This window comes from Homo sapiens, chromosome 12 (genome assembly GCF_000001405.40).
Source record: "Homo sapiens chromosome 12, GRCh38.p14 Primary Assembly".
NCBI classification, from domain to species: Eukaryota; Metazoa; Chordata; class Mammalia; order Primates; family Hominidae; genus Homo; species Homo sapiens.
The window spans coordinates 22,850,367-22,872,368 of NC_000012.12; the positions used below are offsets into that span (position 1 = coordinate 22,850,367).

The 22,002-nt window shown below is 38.9% G+C and overlaps 1 long non-coding RNA gene across 13 annotated transcripts in view; it reads left to right on the plus strand.

Annotated features, from left to right (window-relative positions):
• The window catches only part of LINC02955 (long intergenic non-protein coding RNA 2955), a 491,729-nt gene that overhangs the window by 150,508 nt on the left and 319,219 nt on the right, over window positions 1-22,002 (plus strand). For 6 of the 13 annotated variants that reach the window (NR_187512.1, NR_187515.1, NR_187503.1 and 3 more), the window contains one exon: window positions 10,703-10,858. The exons of 2 other annotated variants lie outside the window; for them this stretch is intronic. This is a non-coding gene — a long non-coding RNA (long intergenic non-protein coding RNA 2955). Of the gene's footprint in view, window positions 1-10,702; window positions 10,859-18,954; window positions 19,048-22,002 lie in introns of all 13 variants that reach the window. 5 more of the 13 variants (NR_187514.1, NR_187508.1, NR_187500.1 and 2 more) reach the window with 2 other exon arrangements.

Below are 22,002 nucleotides of genomic sequence, written 5' to 3' on the forward strand. Positions count from 1 at the left end.
GCTGCTTTAGTGCCAGCAGGAGCAAACTCCATGCAGCCCCTGTGGCAGTGTCCCGGTTGGGGGTGCTTATGACCCCAAGGCTCCAGAGGGTGTGTTACAATGCTCTCTTAGCTCCACTGTCCACAGACAGCAGAGTGTTATCAGCTTAGTGGGCTCTTTGCCTCCTCACATGGGGCAGTTGCCCTCCACCAGCAAGGGCAAAGGGCCAGTGAGACAGCCTTTTTGGGTACCCATACTTGGTGCATCCTGAGTTCTTGCCTGGTGCCCAAAAGGAATGAGGTCATGCAGATGAATTGAAAGATGCTGAATGTGGAGAACTTTATTGAGTGATCAAAGTGGCTTTCAGCAGAGAAGGGAGTTGGAAAGGGGATGGGAATGGCAGATTGCTCTCTCCTGAAGTCAAGCCACCTGTCTCCCTCTCTTCCAAAGTCAAGTTGCCTCATTCTGATGTCCAGCCATCATCTCTGAAGTCAGGTCACTTCTCCCTGATGTCCAGGTGCTTCTCCTCTCTACTGGCTGAGTCTGGGGTCTTTATAGGCACAGGATAGTGGGCAGGGGTGGGCCACAGGTAGTTTTGGAAAAGGCAACATTTGATTGGTAAAGACACTATTCAGAAAGAACCAATCAGGAGAGAGAGCGGGCACACACGGATGGAAGTTCTCACTTTGGGCCACTGGGTTTCAGGCTTTTCAGCTTGAAGGTGGGATTTTGCCAGGGACCTGCCCCTGTCTGCCTAGAGTTTCTCTGTGTCCTGTTTCTATCATTGGCAGATTCTTTGGGTTGATGCAACACGTGACAACCAGATACGGGGCTCAAATTCTCATCTTCCCAATAATTTTCCTTTATTTCACAGTTTGTGAAAATGTGCCTGAGCAACACCTCTGCTGTGGTGTGCCACAGGAGAGGCCTTGACAATTTGTAAAATGATAAGCCTTTTGTTATTGAGTTTCAGAAATTCTTTTGATTGGCTTTGTAGTCTCTGAAAAAAGATCAAGTCAGGGATGAAAATAAACACAAGACTTCAGGGAAATTTGTACTGTTCTGTCTTTGACATACTGACGTTGGAGCAAAATATAGGTCTTCTTTCTCAAGGATCGCTACTTTGATAACATTTACTATTACAAAAATAAACAGAAGTTAAGCCAGGAGTGGAGCGTTGCAAAACTTTTGCCAAGGGCATTGTTATATATTAAGCCTTATGTTCCTGTGAATCATTTCCTTCCTTCCTTCCTTTCTTCCTTCCTTCCTATCTCTCTTTCTTTCTTTCTCATTCTTTCTTTCTTCCTCTCCTTCCTTCCTCCCTTCCTTCCTTCCTATCTCTCTCTTTCTCATTCTTTCTTTCTTCCTCTCCTTCCTTCCTCCCTTCCTTCCCTCCCTCCTTCCTTCCCTCCCTCTCTCTCTCTCCTTTTCTTTCTTGTCCCTTCCTTCCTTTTTTCTTTCTCTCTCTCTCTCTCTTTCTTTCCCCATCTTTTTCTCTTCTTTCTCTCTCTGTCTCTCTCTCTCTCTGTGTCTTTCTCTCTTTCATTCTCTTCTGTCTTTCTCCCCACTTTTCTTTTGTCTCCCTCTCACTCTTCTCCTGGAAATATTCCAATGGATTACATAAAACACCTTCTAAAAAGCAGAAAGATATTAAATTGGACCATGACAGGTATAAGGTACAAAGAAATTCTTCAACATATCTGAAGGAAGGAAGAAATAAACAGAATCAAATTCTTGTTTACATATTGGCCAGCAACTCATTTTCCCCCCTTTGTGATGTTCTTTTTTGCCATCTTGGAGGTCCTTTTACTGTTGATATTTAGTTATTTCATCAGTTACAGTAATTGATATCTCTGCTTGGGATTATCACACAACATCAACATGTGGTTCTTGTGTAACTATGAAAACTTTGCAGATAAAATATCAAAAAGAATACATAGAAAGCTATTGGAGTTCTCAATTGTCTCCCCACCTCCACCCATTTCTCCAAATAATAGTTTGTCTTTTTATTAAGAAATTCAAAGATAGAAATATTTGTGACAGATTGAAGGAGAGATTTAAGTGAAGTTAATTAACTATAAATCATTGATTAAATACATTTTTTAATAAACCACACAGTTTCCTTTCTGCTGCTAATCACTAATTAACCTGAAATCATTCAGTTAAAAATCCCTACAAGTTTAATTTTGTTTTTCATCATTTAAACTAACCCATTTAATTAGAAGTTTACTCAATTTTTTAATATTCAGTAAAAAGATGGTGTCTGATGTGGTCAGGTAAAATTTCAATCTTTAGATTCAAAATTCTCAGCTGGATCACAGACTGATTTGAATGCACCACACGTGCTTTTCTGGAGTCCCCCGTTGGACACAGAGTACTAAGACAGACTCAAAAAAGCATAAACATTTATTAAATAAATATGTACCCTGGCTCTTCAGCAAATGACACCTTAAATTAGACATTTTTATAAACAAAGTTGAAAAATAAATAGAAGATGTGATTTTACCCAGGAAAATAATTTTAAAGTGCACTGGGGATTGGTGGTGGAAAGACTATTAACAAGCAATAAAATGACTGAAAGTTGAAGGGAGAGGAAATAAGAAGAACTGAACATGAAATGTTCCCAGATTATCAAGTTGTAGTTTTCGCATGTGTGTGCAAACACAAACTTGTGTGTATGTATAAATTGCACACCTTATTAATTTGAGGTTTCCAATACTTATAGTATATTAGACTAAGCTGGGCTCTGTTAGCATCTGCCCTCCTGACATTCTAGTCATTTAATACCTATGTACTGTACTCATCGCCTTGTCCAGGTCCTCCAATTACCACCCACACCTGCCAATTCAGCTGGGCTGGGATTGAATCCTATTTCCATAGAACTTTATAAAATCTCTCAGCCTGGGTCGGAGTTACCTTTGTTTTCTGAAGTGCTTTTCAGGTAGCAGGAAGTGGGGCTAAGTCTTGCTTTGATTGTGTGCTTGAATGTATTTTTTCCTTTTGTGGATCTCTGGGTTCTTATCCATCTGCCTTGCTCTGCTGTCCTTATTTTTGTGCTGCCTACCTTGACTTCTCACATGCTATTTGAATTCTGAAATAAAGTCTGGTCTGGAATTTGGTGCCTGGATGAGTCCTTGCTCCTGGATGCTTTCCTTATTCAGGGATCTCACCTCTGCCTGACCACATACTTCTGGGACAGGCCTTCCCTGTCTGTCGTCACACTTCCCTGTGGCTATCGTCCAGTCTTTATTCCTAGCCCTAACTTATCCCTTTGGCCTGAGTCCTTCTGGACTTGATGGCTTCCTACGGTCTCAACCCTGGTAGCCCCATACCCCACAGCATTATGGAACTCAGTTGTCATGTTACTGGCCTCCAACACCCCTAATCTTTCTGAGGCTTTTTTTTTTTTGTCTGCGATTGAGGTTAGACTAGTGTTCTTTGAGGTCCCTTCCAGATCTAATGCATGATGATTCTATCTACTTCAATCACAACCTAAAATAATAGGAATGGGGAGAAGGCTTTAACAAAACTTGTTATGACTAAGAACTTTATCCTGTGTGGATCAGGAGGAGGTGCCCATGCGGGTCTACGGTTTTCCTGCTATGTTTTTGGTCCTGACTTGCCTGAACAGCAGCGGGTATAGAAAAGGACAGTGAGTGACTTGTCCTGGGATTAGGGTTCAGCTTTGAGTCTCTTGCTCATGATCTTTCCTTCAAGACCTATAGGTCCCTTTTTATTGTTATGCTTTCCAAATAAGTGGTTTGTTTTCTTTCTTCTTTCTTTCTTTCTTTCTTTCTTTCTTTCTTTCTTTCTTTCTTTCTTTCTTTTCTTTCTTTCTTTCTTTCTTCCTTCCTTCCTTCCTTCCTCTCTCCCTCCCTCTTTCTTTCTTTCTTTGTTTCTTTCTTTCATTCTTTCTTTCTCCTTCCTTCCTTCCTCCCTCTTTCTTTCTCTCCTTCCTTCCTTTTTCTTTCTTTCTTTCTTCTTTCTTCTCTTTCTTTCTTCTTTAGTTCAACTTAAGCTTTTTCTTCTTCACTTAAAAAATCCACCCTGAGCTTCTCGACCTGTATTTGATACATGGTCCAGTGCTTTCATATTCTAGCCTCCAGGTCTGACTGTGGCAGGTGTACTTAAGCATTTAGGGATTTCTCCATCAATGAGGATCTTTCAAATGTTCCTGAGAGATAGTTTGAGTAGGTCAATAGCTAAGATGAAAATAGGATTTGGAATAACTAGAGAGTTAAAATTATTTTAAAAATAAGGAAATGTTGGCCAAAGACTAATGTATGATAATAGTTCTTTTATTAAAAGAACTGGTTATTTATGATAGCAGAAGGCAGCCTAATTTGTCTTTTAGTAATGTAAAAAACTACCCATTGAGAAGCCATGTTAGTTGATGAAATGCTATTCAGTTGTCCTTATTCATGCATTGTCTTTATTTTAATGACTTGGAAAAGCTTATTGAGAAAGATGTTCCAATAATAATTTGGAGGTAGGGACTAGGATTGTAGAGTTTGTTACATGAGAAAACCATGAAAACTTTGAAACAGTTCTTTTCATATTATTGTATAAAAATTGTGGGTTTATGCTTTGAGCAGGTTCACCCCCCTTTCATATAAAGAACTATAAAGAGTTGCTTTCTCTTTATCATGGGAGGATATTATGTTCTGTTTATTCACCTTCATAATAATCACATAGGTCTTCTGAAATAATTGTAATGCACGGCTTTCAAAGTAGCCTAAAATAGAGTATATAGAATTTCACAAAATTTGCAAGGTGGTTTCAAATACCATTCTCACCATTTTATAGTTTGGTAGAGTGGAATGGTGCAGATTATGATTTTAGGTGAGTTTCTCCAGTTGTCTTCTAGTAACAATCAAGTTATAAAGAGATACCATTCTGTCTCCTAGAAATTTCAGCTTGATGCCAGCACTAGAGCGTGTATTCATGTTCCTTTTAAGGTGTATAAAATTGGAACGCTAATTTTCATCCCTGACCTGTACTCTATTAATTTCTCATGTAAAGTGCCGATCACAGTGCCAGATACAAGAGCAGGTACATCATAAACTCTAGTTTCATTTCTCCTTGCTTCACTTTCAGGTACTCTAAATACCAAAAGACTCTGAAAAGAATGCACATCTTAGCCTCCTTAGCTCCCTAGAAAATCATATCCAGCATGAGTTCAGATCAGGTGATATTCTGGAAAGCTTGGAAAGCCTCAGATTTGTCCGTTACTTGGAGCATTAAAAAATCCTAGCATGTTCCAGGGTGGGACTCTTGCCAAGACCATGTGCCTGAGAGGTTGCCAGTGCACAGTAGGATGTTTCTCAGCTTTTGAATGTGTTAATGACCATGGAATGCTATTGTGTAGATCAGCCTGAAAGTACTGTTTAAGAAAGCAAGATCACAAACGATGCATTTAAGTAAGTCATTTCTTTGCACTATATTGGTTATTCATAAGTTGCATCAAATTGAAGATACAAGTTCACAAAAAGTAAATTGATCCTAGATTTTAATCGAATGCAGGCTAAGTAAATGCTTATCTTGGAACTATATTTCTATTTCTTTATGAGAATATTAGAGTTAAAAGTTTGTTACTTTAATATAGTATAGTTGATTTAGTAGTAAAGATTTGGAAAAAATTAAGTCCCCAAATATAACAAGTACTAATATATTTAAAATATAGAAGAAGATTTTTTTTTTTAAAAAAAGGTGTGGCTAGCTGAGTAGTTTTTGAATTACGTTAAGCACACGTTGCCAATGTTTATTAGTAAAAGTTCAAACCTGTGACATATTTGTTGGCTCAAATACAAATACACAAAACTTCAACTCAAATATATTTTCTTGCACGACAAAAATCTGACTAATGAAGCAACAACAAACATCTTTTGGGAAAGAAGGAAAATCGAGTTAAGAAAAGATGGGGAAATATTTTTTATTGTCCACTAGATGTCAGTACTGAACTGGCAAAACATCTGTGCCATGGTGCTCTTAGACAACATGCTATTAATTTATAATAAAAGGTATCTGACAGCTTTATTCTGATGAATTATGGGAATCCAAAGCATAATTCCCAGCCTTTGGTTTATAAATTGTCATTGATTTTAATGTTCTTTGTAAAGTTGTGGCATGCAACAAATTTTCCTGCCAAGAGCTGTTAAATAAATAGTCATCCTTTGCTCTGAGTAGTACATTGAACTTGTTAGACTGATGAGCAGAACCAATTGATGGTTATCCATAAACCATTTATGACAGATGCACAGCAGCAATTCAAACAATTATTGAATGCATTCATTATGTATTTTTAAAAAAATCTCAAGTGAACCAAAAGGAATATCACAGGTAATAGACCGTAGCAATGCCACACAATTCTTTATGAGCTACTTCCTGATTGACAGGTGACTAGAATTGTTGTAGGATTTTCTGAGGGCTCATCAAACCTCACTGGAATTATTTGGTTTTCTCTATTGTGCGATTTGGCATCCCAAAAGTATATTGCATGCCTTTTCTAAAGAAAGATGGTTATTGTAAAGACAGAAGCTTTTGTTCATGTAAAGATCTCTTACAAACTGGCATGAGAACAAAAGAAAGCTTATGCCTGAGATATAATTTCAGTGCATTTGGAGATTCAGTTTATGTATATGGGAATGTGAAATTTGGAGGTCTATGATGACCAGTAAGTACTTAATCACTTTAAGCAAAGGTTCTATCTCCTAGAAAAATTCTCCACTGGCCTTATGCTGTTGTATTTGATTTCACTCTCTGAAAACACTTAACATCCTTGGCGGTTTTCAGAAGGACCCTCGTTTGCCTTTGTTCTTTGTTTGAAACTGTCCCGCATGTTCTGTTGCTATGTCAGGGACCACCTCTCCTCCCCAGAAGTGGCTTTCAGGGATGTAGCCTCCAGTCTGTTGTTTGTACAATGTTTTAAGACTTCTTTGGGATCAAAGTAAAGTGACCTAAGCATGTAAAATTCTGTTAATGGTGCTATTTGTAAAAGTACACCAGCAGACTACCTTTAGGCACGGTTAAGTAGTGAAACAGTACATTAAAGACTGAGGAGCTGACTCTAATGTTCTATCCTTGATTTCCTTTTTTAAAATCTATTGCTCTAAATGTTGTGATATGCCAGGAGTGCACAAGCTGGACATGTCTCCCCAGTTTCTCTTTGAAAAGGATAAGTCCATGGGCTGAGGACCTCTGATCATACTCTGAATTCCTCAAAAAAATTGGAAGATAGTATTCATTTAGTGTCGTGTTCTTCAGATTTAAAAATAAAATATTCTTTTTAAGAAAAAAACATTAGGAAGACTGAGAGCTTGATACACATATGGCTGCCTTTTACAAGTCATTATGATCTGTCATATAAATACTGTATTTACTGACATTTCAAAATGTGGACTCTAATCTCCACACACATTTATTTTTTTAATAGTTGCTTTTCATTGCAAGCTTCAGTCCAACAAATAACATGAGAAAACATGCAACATGGTCCATAGGTTCGACTATCAATGTCATTACTCTTTAAAAAGCTCAAAGACAGTCGAATTCAGAGTATAAAGCATTTAAACCTAAATCCAGTTAAACTAAATGGAGTGGGGTGGAAAGTTAGTGAGAGGAGTCACTTTGAGCCCTGATACAGTTCTTCACTGCAAGGGATGAATGGTAGCTGTGTATTGCCGTGTATTTTTCCAAAGCTATTTTAATACTGGTTCCTTTACCTAACTCTCAGACTTTCACCATCTCTTCTATTTATCAACAGCGAGAACTCTTGAGCTGCATTAATCAGCTGCAGTGGCATTTCAAACAGGCAGTATTACTCTATGCAGTTACCAGTGTTTAAAAATGTACATTCTTTGTCCAACATTGTGACCACCTGTGGCCAATCAATTTGATCCATAGACTCAGCAGCTTTTTCTGTGCCGAGGGTAACTCGAAAAGACTGTTTCTCAGGCTAATGCTTCTGGGGACCATGGGCTCAAGCAAAAATTGGGTGTGGTGAAATGGGGATGGAGTAAAATAGTCTTTTAGAATTTTGTTGAAAACTTGTGTGACTAGTATTTTGGATAATTTTTACTCATGCAAATTATCCATATAATTCCCTTGAAGTAAATACTGTAAAAATGTTGCATCTAAAAGTGACTAAGGCTAAATAAAATAACTGATCAAATCTAGAGAGGAAAAAAAATAATTCTTTTGACGAACTGAAATGTTCATTTTTCAATCAGTTTATTTATTTAGTCACTGAATATATATCAAGCTCCTGCAACAGGCCGGGTACTATTTCTTGCACTGGGAATATAGAAGTGGAGAGAAAAAAAGTTTCTTCCTTCCCTGGAGCACGCATTCTGGTGAAGGGAGGCAGACAATGAACAAATACATATAAAATAAGTCATCAGGGGTGAGATGTGCTGAGGCAACAAAGGTGAAACAGGTCAAGAGGGTTAGAGAATGGGGTTCTCAGATGTCTACCATAAGGGGCTTTCTCTGAAAGAGCATACAGATTTGGGTTGTGTGCTCATTTAGAGAGAAGCACCTTTGGTAGGCATCTGAGCAGAAACCTGGAAAAAGGGATTAAGCTGGCCCCTGTAGCTAACCAGGGAAGGAGGATTTCAGGCAGAGGAAACAGCATGTGTAAAGCCCTGTGGCAGGGACAGGCTTGGTGTGGGAAAAGAAGAACAGAGAGGTGAGTGTGGTTAGAGCGTGTGAGTGAGGGGAAACTTCTGCCATATGAGGTGGGAAAAGTACGAGGGAACGTGGTCAGATGACGTAGACCTTTATGAGATAGCGTAAGAACTCCAGCTGTTTGTTCTAAGTTATCTGGAGAGGGCTTAACGGAGACAAGTGAAGAGAACTGACTTACACCTTAAAGAACTGCTGTTTGCTCTGTAAAGGTAGCGAGGTGGGAGATAAGGGAACTAATCAGGAGCTCATCTGGGAAATGATTACAATAATCCAGGCAAGAGATAATGGTGGCTTTGCCAGTGTAGCTAGGGAGACACGGCCAGATTCTGGCTATATTTTGAAGGAGAGCCAACAAGACTTGCTGATGGGTTGGAGGGGATGAGAAGAAGGGAGGAGTTAAGGATGACTAAGGATTTGGCCTGAGCAACTTCCTAAGTGCTCGTGCTATTTGCTGAGTTGGGGAACACTGGAGAGGATCAGTTTTGGGAGTTTAAGGAAGAATCAGGAGATATTGAGAGGCAAGTACAGTAGTCCTCCATTATCCACGGTTTTACTTTTTGTGGTTCCAGTTATCCACAGCACAGTACAATAAGATATTTTGAGAGATAGAGAGACCATATTCACATAACTTCTCTTACAGTATATTGTTGTAATTGTTCTATTTTATTAATTATTGTCATTAATCTCTTATTGTGCCTAATTTATAAATTAAACTTTATTGTACATATAGGAAAAAATGTAGTATATGCAGGGTTTGGCACTGGTTTCAGGTATCCACTGGGGGTCTTGGAAGGTATTGTCTGCAGACGAGGGATGACTGTAAATATACAATCATGAATTTAGGGACAAAATCAGGTTTTATCGGTTTAGTGATATCACATAGTGTCATGGGACTGAGTGAGATAACTTGGGAGGAAAGGGAGAACAGGTGTGGAGCCTTAGTGCATGCCAAGTCAGATGTCATGAGGAAAAGGAAAACCCAGCAAAGGACACATTGCAAGAAGAACATTAAGAAAGTGGGAGCCTAGAACAGTGCTTCTCAAAGTGTGGTCTGTGGACTTGTAGCAGGTATGGGCTGGGAGCTCTTTAGAAATGTAAGCACTCAGACCACACCCAAACTCACTAAGTAAGAAACTCTGGAGGTGGATCTCAGGAATCTGTGTTTTGTTTTTTGAGATGGGGTCTCTCTCTGTCACCTGGGCTGAAGTGCAGTGGCACGATCATAGCTCACTGCAGCCTCAACTTCCCAGGCTCAAGTGATCCTCCTACCTCAGCCTCCTAAGTAGCTGGGACCACAGGCATGCGCCACCATGCCTGGCTAATTTTTTATTTGTAGAGACGGGGTCTCTCTGTGTTGCTCAAGCCTCTCCTGGGCTCAAGTGATCGTCCTGCCTCAGCCTCACAAATGCTGGGATTACAGGCGTGAGCCACTGCACCTGGCCAGGAATCTGTGTTTTAACAAGCTCTCCAGGAGATTCTTTTACCCAGTGAAGCCAAACCAAAGGAGATGTTTCAGGTGTATCAAATGAACAAAGGAACACTATTTGAAGGACTCATTTCAATTTATTTAATTAAAATATCAAATTTATTTTATACTTCAATTTATTCAATATGAAACATTAAAATTTCTTCATCTTTGAATATATTTTTGTTAGGCAGTAGAGCACTGTATTTAGTTAGGAATAGAATTTGGGAATCTGTATTCCAAAATGAGTTCAGAGATCCAAAATAATCAGCTAAGAAATATCATTGCTGAAGGTGTCAATAGCATTAATTGGGATATACATCACTGCTCAAAGACCTATTTGGATTCTAGATCAGCTCCTAGAGTCCTGATTTTCCACAGCATATGATAATCAAAATAGTGGCTAAACTCCCAAATCTCCTGATTTTAGCCCCATATGTACTGTAAATGCATTGACCTTACCCTTATATCAGAGATCATGGAGGAATTGTTGACCTGGGGCATGAATTGAATTACATTTTTTTTTTTTTTGTATGTGAGTACAGGTTGTGGCCTGACTAGATTTCTCTCATATAGGTTGCCCTTCATCACTCAGCAGTGAAGAATGAAAATCAACAGAGCTTTCCCCAGCCTGCTGCTTAAGCAGCTGCTAGCAGGCTGAGGCTGCCCAGCCTCATTAACCCATTAGATGCTGCGTTCGCCCGGGAGTCATTCTTAATGAGGCTGCTGCAGGTAAGCCAGACATGCACCAAAATGTTAGGGCATTAAATTAAGACTCTTAAATGTGGGACCTATAATAGAGTTGTTTTTATGTCAGAAACAGATACATCAGAGAGCACTCTTAAGGCGAGTAAAGCAAATGATACTATTACCATCTGTGAATCTATAGTGCTTTAAAGATGTTGGAAATTTTGAATTCAGGAGGCACTTGGAAGCTTGTCATTTTCCCAAACATCGTGTCCCCCTAATTAGCAACTCTGTTCTCTAGAATAGGCACCAGTGTACAGAATCAAGTCAGATTTCATATCACAGCTGAAAGGACTCTTGATCCTCTAAACTTCCTGGTTCACAATTTTCTCTGGATAGAAAAATAATGATTGTAAGCAAAACTAAACAACAAAACTAAACACCACTTTTTTTATAGCCCAGAGGAAATGAGGATTTCTGTTTGTGCCAACAAAAATTTTTTGCAGTGATGGCAGTAAGACTTGGGAAGCAAACTGTGCCACATAACTGACCATGGATACTCTGGCTATGGGTGGATTTTTAAGGTCTCAGATTAATGTGTACTTGTGATTGAGTTTTTGACAAGACTCCTAGGGTCCAGTGTTATAACTTCCTCATCCCTAAAATCTTGCAATTCCCCTTTACCTCTTAATTCGAGTCTCCTTTTATTGGAGAAAATAATTGCATCTATCTCTCTACTTCTTTCATGTGCCTTCTTCTGTTTTTCCATTCCAATCAGGTCTCTACGAATATCTGATATTTTTAAAAAATTAAAAAATGCTGCTCTTCTTTATTGTTGCATGATATTAGAGAGAGAAAGCCATACGTTTACGTTTTCCTGTTCAAGAATATGCTGGATAAAGTTAGCCATCCTTTCCCAGGAGCATGAATGCTATTAATATTTTAGATTGTAATCTAATAAAATTTCATCTTATCCTATTGCTTTTCTTAACCACCCCCCAGCAATCAAGTACATAGTCTTAACATCTGAGGCTAAGAAAAAAGGAGTTCATCTATTGCACAAGTGTTTTTCAATACATTTTTTAAAACTTGGAGGAGATGGTGGTGGGGGGTGGTGGTGCTTCATGTAATTTTATAGGACCTCTGAGGCCCAGAGTTTTTAAGTAATCTTTTTTGATGTTTTTAGACAGACCATTAAGCTGAGGATAAAAGTCCCTGTGTTCAATATCTGGATACATTAAGCATTAGGTTTAAAATTTACAGCTTTCATTTTGACAAGAAAAATGACACGTTTGGTCTCAAGTGCTACCTTGAACTGTTTTTCAACACGGAGACAGATTGTCAGGCTGAGGGTGGAGGTCTGTGCTCTTAGTCCCTGAGACGCTCCATGGGGTAAACTGCTCCAAGTCATCAGGAAATGCTGACTGAACCCTGGGCAACTGGCTGGTGTCTGGTGGGGGCAATGGCAGAAAGCCACCTGGATGCTTATCCCCTCATGGGTTGAGGTCTACTCAAATGCCTTCTTCTGTAAATGCAATTGATCCAAAAGAGGAAAAGAGTGAGCCAGACAAGGAGAATGTCTACATGTAGGGGTGGACTTCAAAATACTTCCATTTTTATTCTGCCCATAAGAAGTTCTTCAATGGATCCTCTTTTTCCTCTGACAAGTTAAAGTGCATCTGGGGACTAGGACTTCAGGGAGTTGTCTGAACTAAGTGACACGTAGGGGTAGAAGGTGGAGGGGAAGTCAGGGAGACTATGCTGGGCTGTAGGAGCAGTGAGTAGGTAGGTACAGAAATTTGAGGAGAGTGTGGTGTGATCCAGGAGATGCAACTAGTATCAGAACTATGGATAAAGATATAACTCTCCTGCCTCCCCTTACTCCAACAGAAGAGGGAGGCTGGAGAGGTGGGCATGGAAAAAATGGAAAGAGTTTTCTAAGCTAGGATAAGGAATGTGAATATTACTTCGAAGACAAAAGATGGAGATGGCAAGATTAGATGTTGTTTTTGGAAAACGAGTGGTGCTTCTAGGTGCAGAACAGACTGGGGTGGTAGGACCGACAGCCTAGCTGGGAGATGCCTGCAGGAATCCAGGGTGGAGGTGATGAGTTGGCGGAGAGCTACCCTGTGGCCAGGGAGGACTGGCATTGTGGGCACAAAGTGGGGCAAAGGAGGCAGGCATGAACAGTATTCTCCAATGGATCTGATGGGATTTGATGATGGATGTGGAGGGTGAGGGAAAGGGCCATCTGGTTTCCTTTCTTTTCTCAATTTCCTGAAGATCTGGAAGGGCAGGGAAGAACCCCACCCTCCCATTCATGAAATGGAGGCTCCCTCTCTTTTTCACATCCTCCCCTTCCTACTTCTTTATGTCTACTTCTCCCTTACCCCTCTCTCTAAGCCTCTGAGGGAATGAAATACTTCTATCCACTGGGTTTCTGTCTATCTCTGCCTATTTCTGCTCTTCATTTTTGTTTTTGTTTTTCTGCTACAATGATACTACCTGGATTTATAATATCTTTATCCTATTTAAAGCATTACTGTAAAATATTTACACTCAAAATTTGATACCTATTCTTTCTCTCTCTCTCTTTCTCTCCTCTTGTTTGCAAATTTGTCCCTCTTCCTATAGATACACTTCAATGCATGGGAGACTTACATCCTGTGAATTCTTTCTGTATGAAGAGCTTATGTTAGTGGCAAATAGTGTGATTATGCAAAATACACACATTCAATTCAACATTCATTCCTGGCTTCGTGGTTTTAAAGAAGTCTTGCATAAAGAAAATATCAACTGACAGCACAATAAGCCTTAATTGATTTTGACTTCATGTAGTATCAGATCTGCCATGTCCAGAATGGACAGACAATACAAGTGATGTAACTATAATGATGGCAAAGTCTGAAAGGAAACTCACTGTGTTAGTTTGTGTGTAGGTGTGTGAAGAGGGGGTTACCAAGAAATACAGTCACTTAAAACTTTCAAATAGCAAGCCTTTGTTTTAGCATTAGATTCTCAAAGTTTGTGTTTGTAAAGCATGATTGATCCAAAGGGCTTGCCCTCAACCTCATCTATTTGCATAAATGATAGGAAAATTCAGGTCTTTGCAAATCAGAATAAATTCTTCACCTCACTGCGCCTCTATGAGAGAACAACAAATATACTGAAAATGAAAATGACCATGAATTAAGAAATTCCCCATGGCATTTACCCCCTTTAGTAATATTATCACAAAAAATAACTTAAATAACCTGAGTCCAAGTATTTTCCCAATAAACAGGATAAAGAAATGTTATCCAAATCCAGAACATTATGAAAATATCAGAAACACCTATGCACTTCACTCTCTCTGGCCTCATCGAGGCAATGACACACGATCAATTTGAAAAAAAAAATCCACCACACGACTGGACTGTTGTTTTGAAGCTTTTATTTCTGTTTTTATTTTCTTCAAATATCTCATGAAAAGGATAAGTTAAGATAAAAAATGAGGGCAGTACATTTGTATTTTTAAAAATCTGTGGAACATCCAATATCTGTTCTGCATAAACATATTGGACTGTTGTCTCGGACGTTTCACCCGGAAAAACATGAGCATGCCTCACATTACAAATGCTGTTCAAATATTTTCCAGACACATAAAAGAGAAAATATCATCACAAGTAATGAAAGTGAATCAGGGGAAAAAAAAAAGGGAGTATGGCATTTGGACAGACCCAGTGAGAACACAGAGAGGGAGAGACAAGGAAGGAAAAAAGATCTTAAACACAGATGTAGGCAATTGATCATATAGAGATTCTCTTCTAAGCTTAGTTTTCATATCATGTTTTGAGTCTGCTTTATCATTTGTCTTCAGCCATACTGGGCCTCCATGCCTTTCTTTTGTCTCAGAAATATTTGTAAAGGAATTTTTGTAAAATATACCCAGAAATAATTGGTAAAAGAATAAAAAGTGTTTCTGAAATTCAGAAAATTTGATTGAATTAAATATTTTGGGAGCCTGAGAAGAAGAAAGGCTTACTTAATTAAAATTCATTTTTGGAGGATTTCCTTGGGAAAGTTGTCTGTGTGATGATGCTGGAAGTATGAAATACACTCTAATCTACCTTGCAGAAGTTCTATGACATGCAGATAAAGTTGGTGAAGCATACATATAGCAATGTAAAATATATACCTGTGCATGCACGCACACACACCAGCCTTATAAATACCCAGAATGATAGGCCTAGCTTATTTAAGTCAATGAGAGAAAATACTTTAGTCTATTAAATATGTATGTTACAATTTCAGATAAATGGTACCTTTTATCTTACAAAAAGGAACTTTTCTCTCCCAAATTATTAAATCAGTGTTTAAAACTATTAGAAAAGCAATGCTTAGCCAAAGTGCTATCCCACTTACCATTTGAAAAAAAAGTTACCAGGTATTTATCCACCTAAATTATGTTAACTCCTTAATTTAGACCAAAGTATCAGTTGTAAGCATGTTTCCAGTGGCTGCCTAGCCTGCCACACTCCTTTGACAAATGACCCCTCCTAACCCTGCTCACGCTGTGGCCCCTGGCAGCCATGTCTGCATTTTTTGACACCACATCTCAAGCCATAGCTGATCAGGTACTTACCTAACCCAGGCTGTCCTGGCAATCTGCAACTCAGATGCAGGAATGTTCATTAGCTCATGAGAGTGTTATCAGTCAAGCATGAGCATAGGAAAGCACAGCATAAGGATGCCCAGAGAGAAAAAAAGAGTATGTAGTGGAAGCCATGTAGTCTCTCTCCTTCCCTCTCTCTCACACACACACGCACACACACATGCACACACACGAACACATGCACACACACACATGCGCACACACGCACACACGCACACATGCACACATGGGCACCGCTGGGCTTTCTACCTCAGGGTCTTTATGCCCATAGCATACATCTCCTTTATTGATTGAAGCTGCTTGCAATGGCTTTCTGTTACTTATAACAACAACAGAATCATTGATCAAGAAAAATGGAAAGAAGGAAGAGAGAGATACTGGAGCAGGTAAGCTCAGTATGGTGAGAATATGCACAAATAGAAACCCTTTAAGAAAAGACGGGAGGAAATTCTGTATCTATGACCCTCTAGGCCTTCAAGGGTGAAGACAGACTCCCAGAAACCTATTCTTCCCTATTCTCTTCCTTTCCCCAGCACTCATGGACTGGTCCCAACTATCTGCCTGGAATCCAGGAATAATCTCATATGTCCTCTCTCCATGATTATGTCAGCTACTACAAAACCTCCCAGGTCACCCTCCTCTCCTATCCTTTAAGTCCCAAGAGCTCCCTAGCTCAGTGGTTCTCAGGCTTTAGTGTTTATCTGAATCACCTGAAGGGTTTGTTAAAAAAACAGTTTGCTGGGCCAGAATTCGTTTCTCATTCTGTAGGCATGAAGTCAGGCCTGAGGATGTGAATTTTTTCTAACATGTTCCCAAGTGATGTTGATGTTTGTGGTCCCAGTGAAAAACCACTGCCTTATTCAGTTCACTCCTCCCCAAGTCCTAAAACTCATCTACTGTGCTCTCTGAATTCAGAGTCTGTTGAAGGCAAAATCCCCCATAGCTTCATCCTCTTTCACCTTTTTGCTCTAAGGAGAAGTCGACTCCTCCCCAAGGTCACATTTTCCCAACAGCCTCTCTAATGGTGGCTGCTTTTCCTCCCAGCTCTATACCAAAGACCTGAAGGTGGGGTAGACGTTGTCCTGTGTCCTCATTGCTGCTTTCAGACCTTTCTCTCTACCTCCTTCCTAAAAACAACCAACCACGAATCTTAGGCTATCACATGATGTCAACCCTTCCCCTCATCGTTGCTGCCAGTTATGGATTCCTGGGATCTTTCCTTTGATTTCTTGGTGATAGAAGACTCAAGTTCAGTCTCTCTACTAATATCCCCGCCTTAATTATTGTAGATTTCAATGGATGTACATATGATCTTTCTACACTTTGGCCTTGAGTTCCTTAACTATCCCTCTTCCACAGATCTTGTCTTTCACCTTATTAGGTACTATTTTGTGGTCATACCCCGGACCCCTTCATAACCGATATTTCAAACATTCTACTCTCTGACCGCTGTGTCTTACCTTTTCAGTCCACTCTCTCTAGTATTAGGGCCTCAACAGTCCCTTGACCCTAATAGGACCTCTGATCTTTTCATTTTACCTTCTTTTTATTGACCTCACATTCTTCCAGATTAAATTTTATGGTTAATTGTTGTAGTCACTCCCTTGAAAACACCCTCCATTCCCATGCTCCTGCCTCATTGTCTCACTCACTTGGCAGATCCACAATCCTGGTTAAATCCAACTCTCTGCCTACTCTGTGTCTGCAACCCTGAAGCTAAAACTGTCTGGAGAAAAACTCACAGCCACACAGACTTTAAATTAGAAGTGGGCCCTTAATTCTGCAAGGCAATCATACTAGATGTTTTTAAAAATTCATTCTCCCACACCCTTGATAAGGATTTAAAATACTTTTCTCTTTTCAAATCCCAATAAGAAAATTGGAACATTCACAGGAGGATCTACAGAGATTATCATCACCACTTCAATCCATCTGCTGCACCTGCCCCTGCACACTTTGACCTCCTGCTGAGTAGGAGGTCATGGTAATGGGTGGACAATCCATGTCCCTATCTCAAGTCAACCCCTCTGCTGTGCGCTAGAACTCATCTTCTCTCACTGGATTGCTTGAGAAATTCTCCCTTTCTATATTATATTATCCATCTTCTCCACTGTATCATCACACAAAAATGATGTTACTTCTCTCAAAGTAAAAAACTTTCTCTTGATCTATCTTTTCCCACCAGCTTGCTGCCCCATTTTGTTGCTTCTATTTGCAGCAAACTGCTTAAAAAATTTATCCATAGTCAGATCTCCAATTTGTCCCTCCGTATTCTCTCTTTAACCCACTTCAATCAGGCCTTTGCCCACATCGCTCCAGCAAATCTGCTTCCCTGAAGCTCACCTGGATCACCATGCATCATGATGAAATCTCTGCTTTAATCTTAGCCTATCAATAGCATTTGAATCACCCATCTTTCTTATTTTCTTCACTCCTATTCCAGGCACCACACTTTCTTGGATTTCTTCCTACTTTACTGAAAGCTCTTTCTGGGTTTCCATTTTGGTTCTTTCTCTTCTCCTTCCTCTTTTCATGGGGAGCCCCATGGCTCAGCCCTTGGAACTCCTTTCTTTTTGTTCCACTGTCACTCTCTTGGTGATCTTATTCAGCCTCATGGCTTGAAATATTATATATACATGTGTTTATAGTGCTATGGAAAAAACCTCTGTCTCAAATTCTAGACTACTCTGGTCAAACATCTATCAGACACATCACACTCAGTTTTCTAAGACTGAACTCCTCAACTCGCCTTCCTCCTGCCCCACCTAAGTGCTTTACTAACTGCTTTCCCTTCTCAGCTGATGGCAACTCCATCTTTCCAGATGCTTCATCAAAATTTTGTGTTTGATTCTTTTAAGTCTTTCAGACCCCACATAAAATGAAATTCTGTGCTCAACCTTCAAAAATATCCATGATCTAACCTCTTCTTTCTACTGCTACCACCAGATTACTGTCATCATTTACCTCGATTAGTTGGCTTTCTGATATATCTCATGCTACTGCCCTGTTTCCTAAACTCTAGCCCCCCCAAATAGCATCCAGGACCCTAGTAGCTGGAGAAATGTGGACCCAGGATGCAGTGCCCCAAGAGAAGACTATGGCAAGGAGGAGTCTGGGTCTAGCGAGGGCTGCTGAGAGCTTCATTCCATACCATTGAACACTTTGAACCCAATGCAGCCGCTCACCTCCAGCTGCCTCCCTCAATTGTACTTACCGTATCACTAAACACTTTCTTTTGTTTTCATTTCTTTGTTTAATTTTGCATATTGGTTACACAGTTATGTTATATATTATAATTTTACGGGTTTTGTTTTTGTTTGAGACAGAGTCTCACTCTGTAACCCAGGCTGGAGTGCAGTGGCACAGTCTCAGCTCACTGCAGCCTGAACCTCCCAGGCTCAAGCAGTCCTCCCACCTCAGCTTTCCAAGTAGCCAGGACTACAGGTGTGCACCACAACACCTGGCTAATTTTTTGTATTTTTGGTAGAGACGGCGTTTCACCATGTTGCCCAGACTGGTCTCGAACTCCTGGCTTCAAGTGATCCTCCTGCCTCAACCTCCCAAAGTGCTGGTATTACAGGTATGAGCCACTGACCCCAGCCATATATAATATATATATATAATATTTATATATATTATATTTATATATATTATATATAAATATAATATAATATATAAATAATATATATTTATATATAATATGTAATATATATTATATAATAATATGTAAATAATATATATAATATATATATTTCATATATATTATATAATATATATTACATAATACTATATATTTTATATATAATATAATATAATATATTATATATATTTTATATATATAATATAATATAATATATATAAAATATATATAATATTATATATTATATAATAATATATTATTATATATAATATATATATTTTATATATGGAAGAGTAAATATTATATATATATATTTAATGACAGGGATCTTTTTTTTTTCTTTTCAATCTAGTACCTACAAACTCAGTAAATGCTCAATAAGTTGTTACAATTAATTTCAGTAGGAGTAGCCATTATGGAAAATCCAACCCAAATGTTAGAAATGACCATTTTCCACTGCCTTGGAAAGCAGGATTATCCTCCTGGTTTTTTCTTCTTTATCTGTGTGGGATAATGACAGTATTGGTTCAACACCTTTCTAAGCAGTGAACTGTATAATTCCCATGCTTCAGTGTGTTTGACATAGTCAAATTCTACTGCTTAAAAATAAATACAAGCGATAAAATTATGCTCCAAAAACAAAACAAAAAGAGCAGCCAGAGTAATTCTTTTAAAATAAAAGTAAGATTGTATCACTGTTCTATGTAAAACCTTGTAATGACTCCCCACTTTTCTCATAGTAAAACCGATATTCCTATTATGACCTGGGGTAGCCAGTTTCTAATATGGTCTTCAATGATCCCAGACCCCTGGAACTTGATATGTAATTTCCTTGCACATTGAATGGCCCTTACCTGTGTAAATAATTGGATATTGAAGAAATGATAATGTGTGCCTTCTGAGGCTGGATTGCAAAGTACGTTATATCATTGGCCTCTTTTTCTTGGATCAGTTTTTCAGAGAAAACCATGTACATTTTGTGAGAATACTCAAGCAGCCCCATGGACCTGTCCAAATAGCAAGGAACTGAAGCCCTCTGACAAGAACCATGTGAATGAACCATCCTAGAAGGAGATCCTCCAGCCCCAGTCAAATCTCCAAATAACTTCCCCCACAGTCAATATTACAACTGCATCCTCATGGGAGACCCTGAGCTAGAACCACCAGTAAGCCCCTTCCAAATTCTGAAACCTTAGGAATTGTGTGAGATAATAAATATTTACTACTATTTAAGCTTTCTAAAAGACATAAAAAAGAATAAAATCATGTCCTTTGCAGTAATATGAATGTAGCTGGAGGCCATCATCCTAAGTGAAGATGGAAGAGAAAACCAAATACAGCATGTTCTCACTTATCAGTGGGAGCTAAACATTAGGGACATATGGACATAAAGATGGCAACAGTGGACACTGGGGGCCACTGGAGTGGGGAGAGGGGGAGGGGAACAAAGGCTGAAAAACAACCAATTGGGTACTATGCCCACTACCTGGGTGATGAGATCATTCACACCCAAAGCCTCAGCATTGTGAAATATACCCATGTAATAAACCTGCACATGTACCCCTGAATCTAAAGTTGACATTATATTAAAAAAAGAAAGCTGCTAAAGTGTGGGATCGTTTGTTATACAGCAATAGCTAATTAATACATGACTTTTACATTTGCATAATATACACCAGTCCTCTAGCTCTTGGGCCTCATCTCCTACTACTCTCATCCTGATTCATTCAGTTCCAGCCATGGTGGTCTCCTGGCAATTCCTAGAACATGCCAGGTACTTACTCAACTTGGGCATTTGCTCTAGCTGCTCTCTGTGTATGAAGTAACTCAATTCTCTAGGTATCTTCCTGGCTAGTTCCTTAGCCCTTTTTTAAGTGTTCCTTTAAATCTCATCTTCCCAGTAAGGCTCACCTGGCCAACATGGTATAAAACAACCTATATTAATGTACTCTATAATTAAGGGATTTAGTATATATTATTTTTGTTTGTTCCTTTCATGGCTTGACACTCAAAGATTTCACTAGGATTTTTAAAACTCTCAAGCACCTTAAGGATAATCTTTGTTTAGAGGTTGTGAACTCGTTGTTACTGGAAGGCAGACACTGGAACAAGAACTGAGCATCCAAATTTTACCTAGGTGGCTTTACCAGGTGATTTTAAAAATCATATTTAGCCTGAGATTTTAGAAGACTGGTCATGGAGAATAAAATGGAAAAGAGTTATAAGCAACAAAAGTCCAATTAAACTGAATTTAGAAAAAAAAGTATGAAGTTGCTTATCTCAATCTAGAATTTAAAAAGTTTACCTCCGTCTCCATCATCTTTTCCCTCATACTTAATTTTATTTGCAGTCAGATTTGCCCTTCATTGTGGCCCTCAGCTGTTCCAGTCTTAACTAGTGGTTCAAAAAAAGAAAAAAAAGGAAAAGAAAAAAGAAAAGAAAACAACAACAAAACCCCAAACCTCGGAAACTGAGTCTCTTAGCTGTCACTGGCCAGGCTTTGGATCCGTGCCACTTAAAGTACATGTATGGAAAATGGAACAGAATTTTCCAAAGAAAATTTGTGTGTATTCACTAAAAGAAGGTAGAATGGAAGCTGGAAAGACAAAAACAACAATTGTCTGCTGTAATACACAATAACAACAACAACAAATAAACACTATGATATGTCTTCATAGGCAATTTGAAAACAGATTTTAATTGAAAGAGGAGAAAAAGCTGAGCATCTGATTAATCTCCTTCTTAGTCATGGCTTTGTCCTTTCATTTAGTGAAATGAAATGATTGGTGAATTTTTTTTGTGCCATCACCCAAAGGAACATGTATAAGTAGTAAACAAAACACATTAAATATCATTTATATAGTAATATGTCCAACTCTTATTGTCATTCATCTG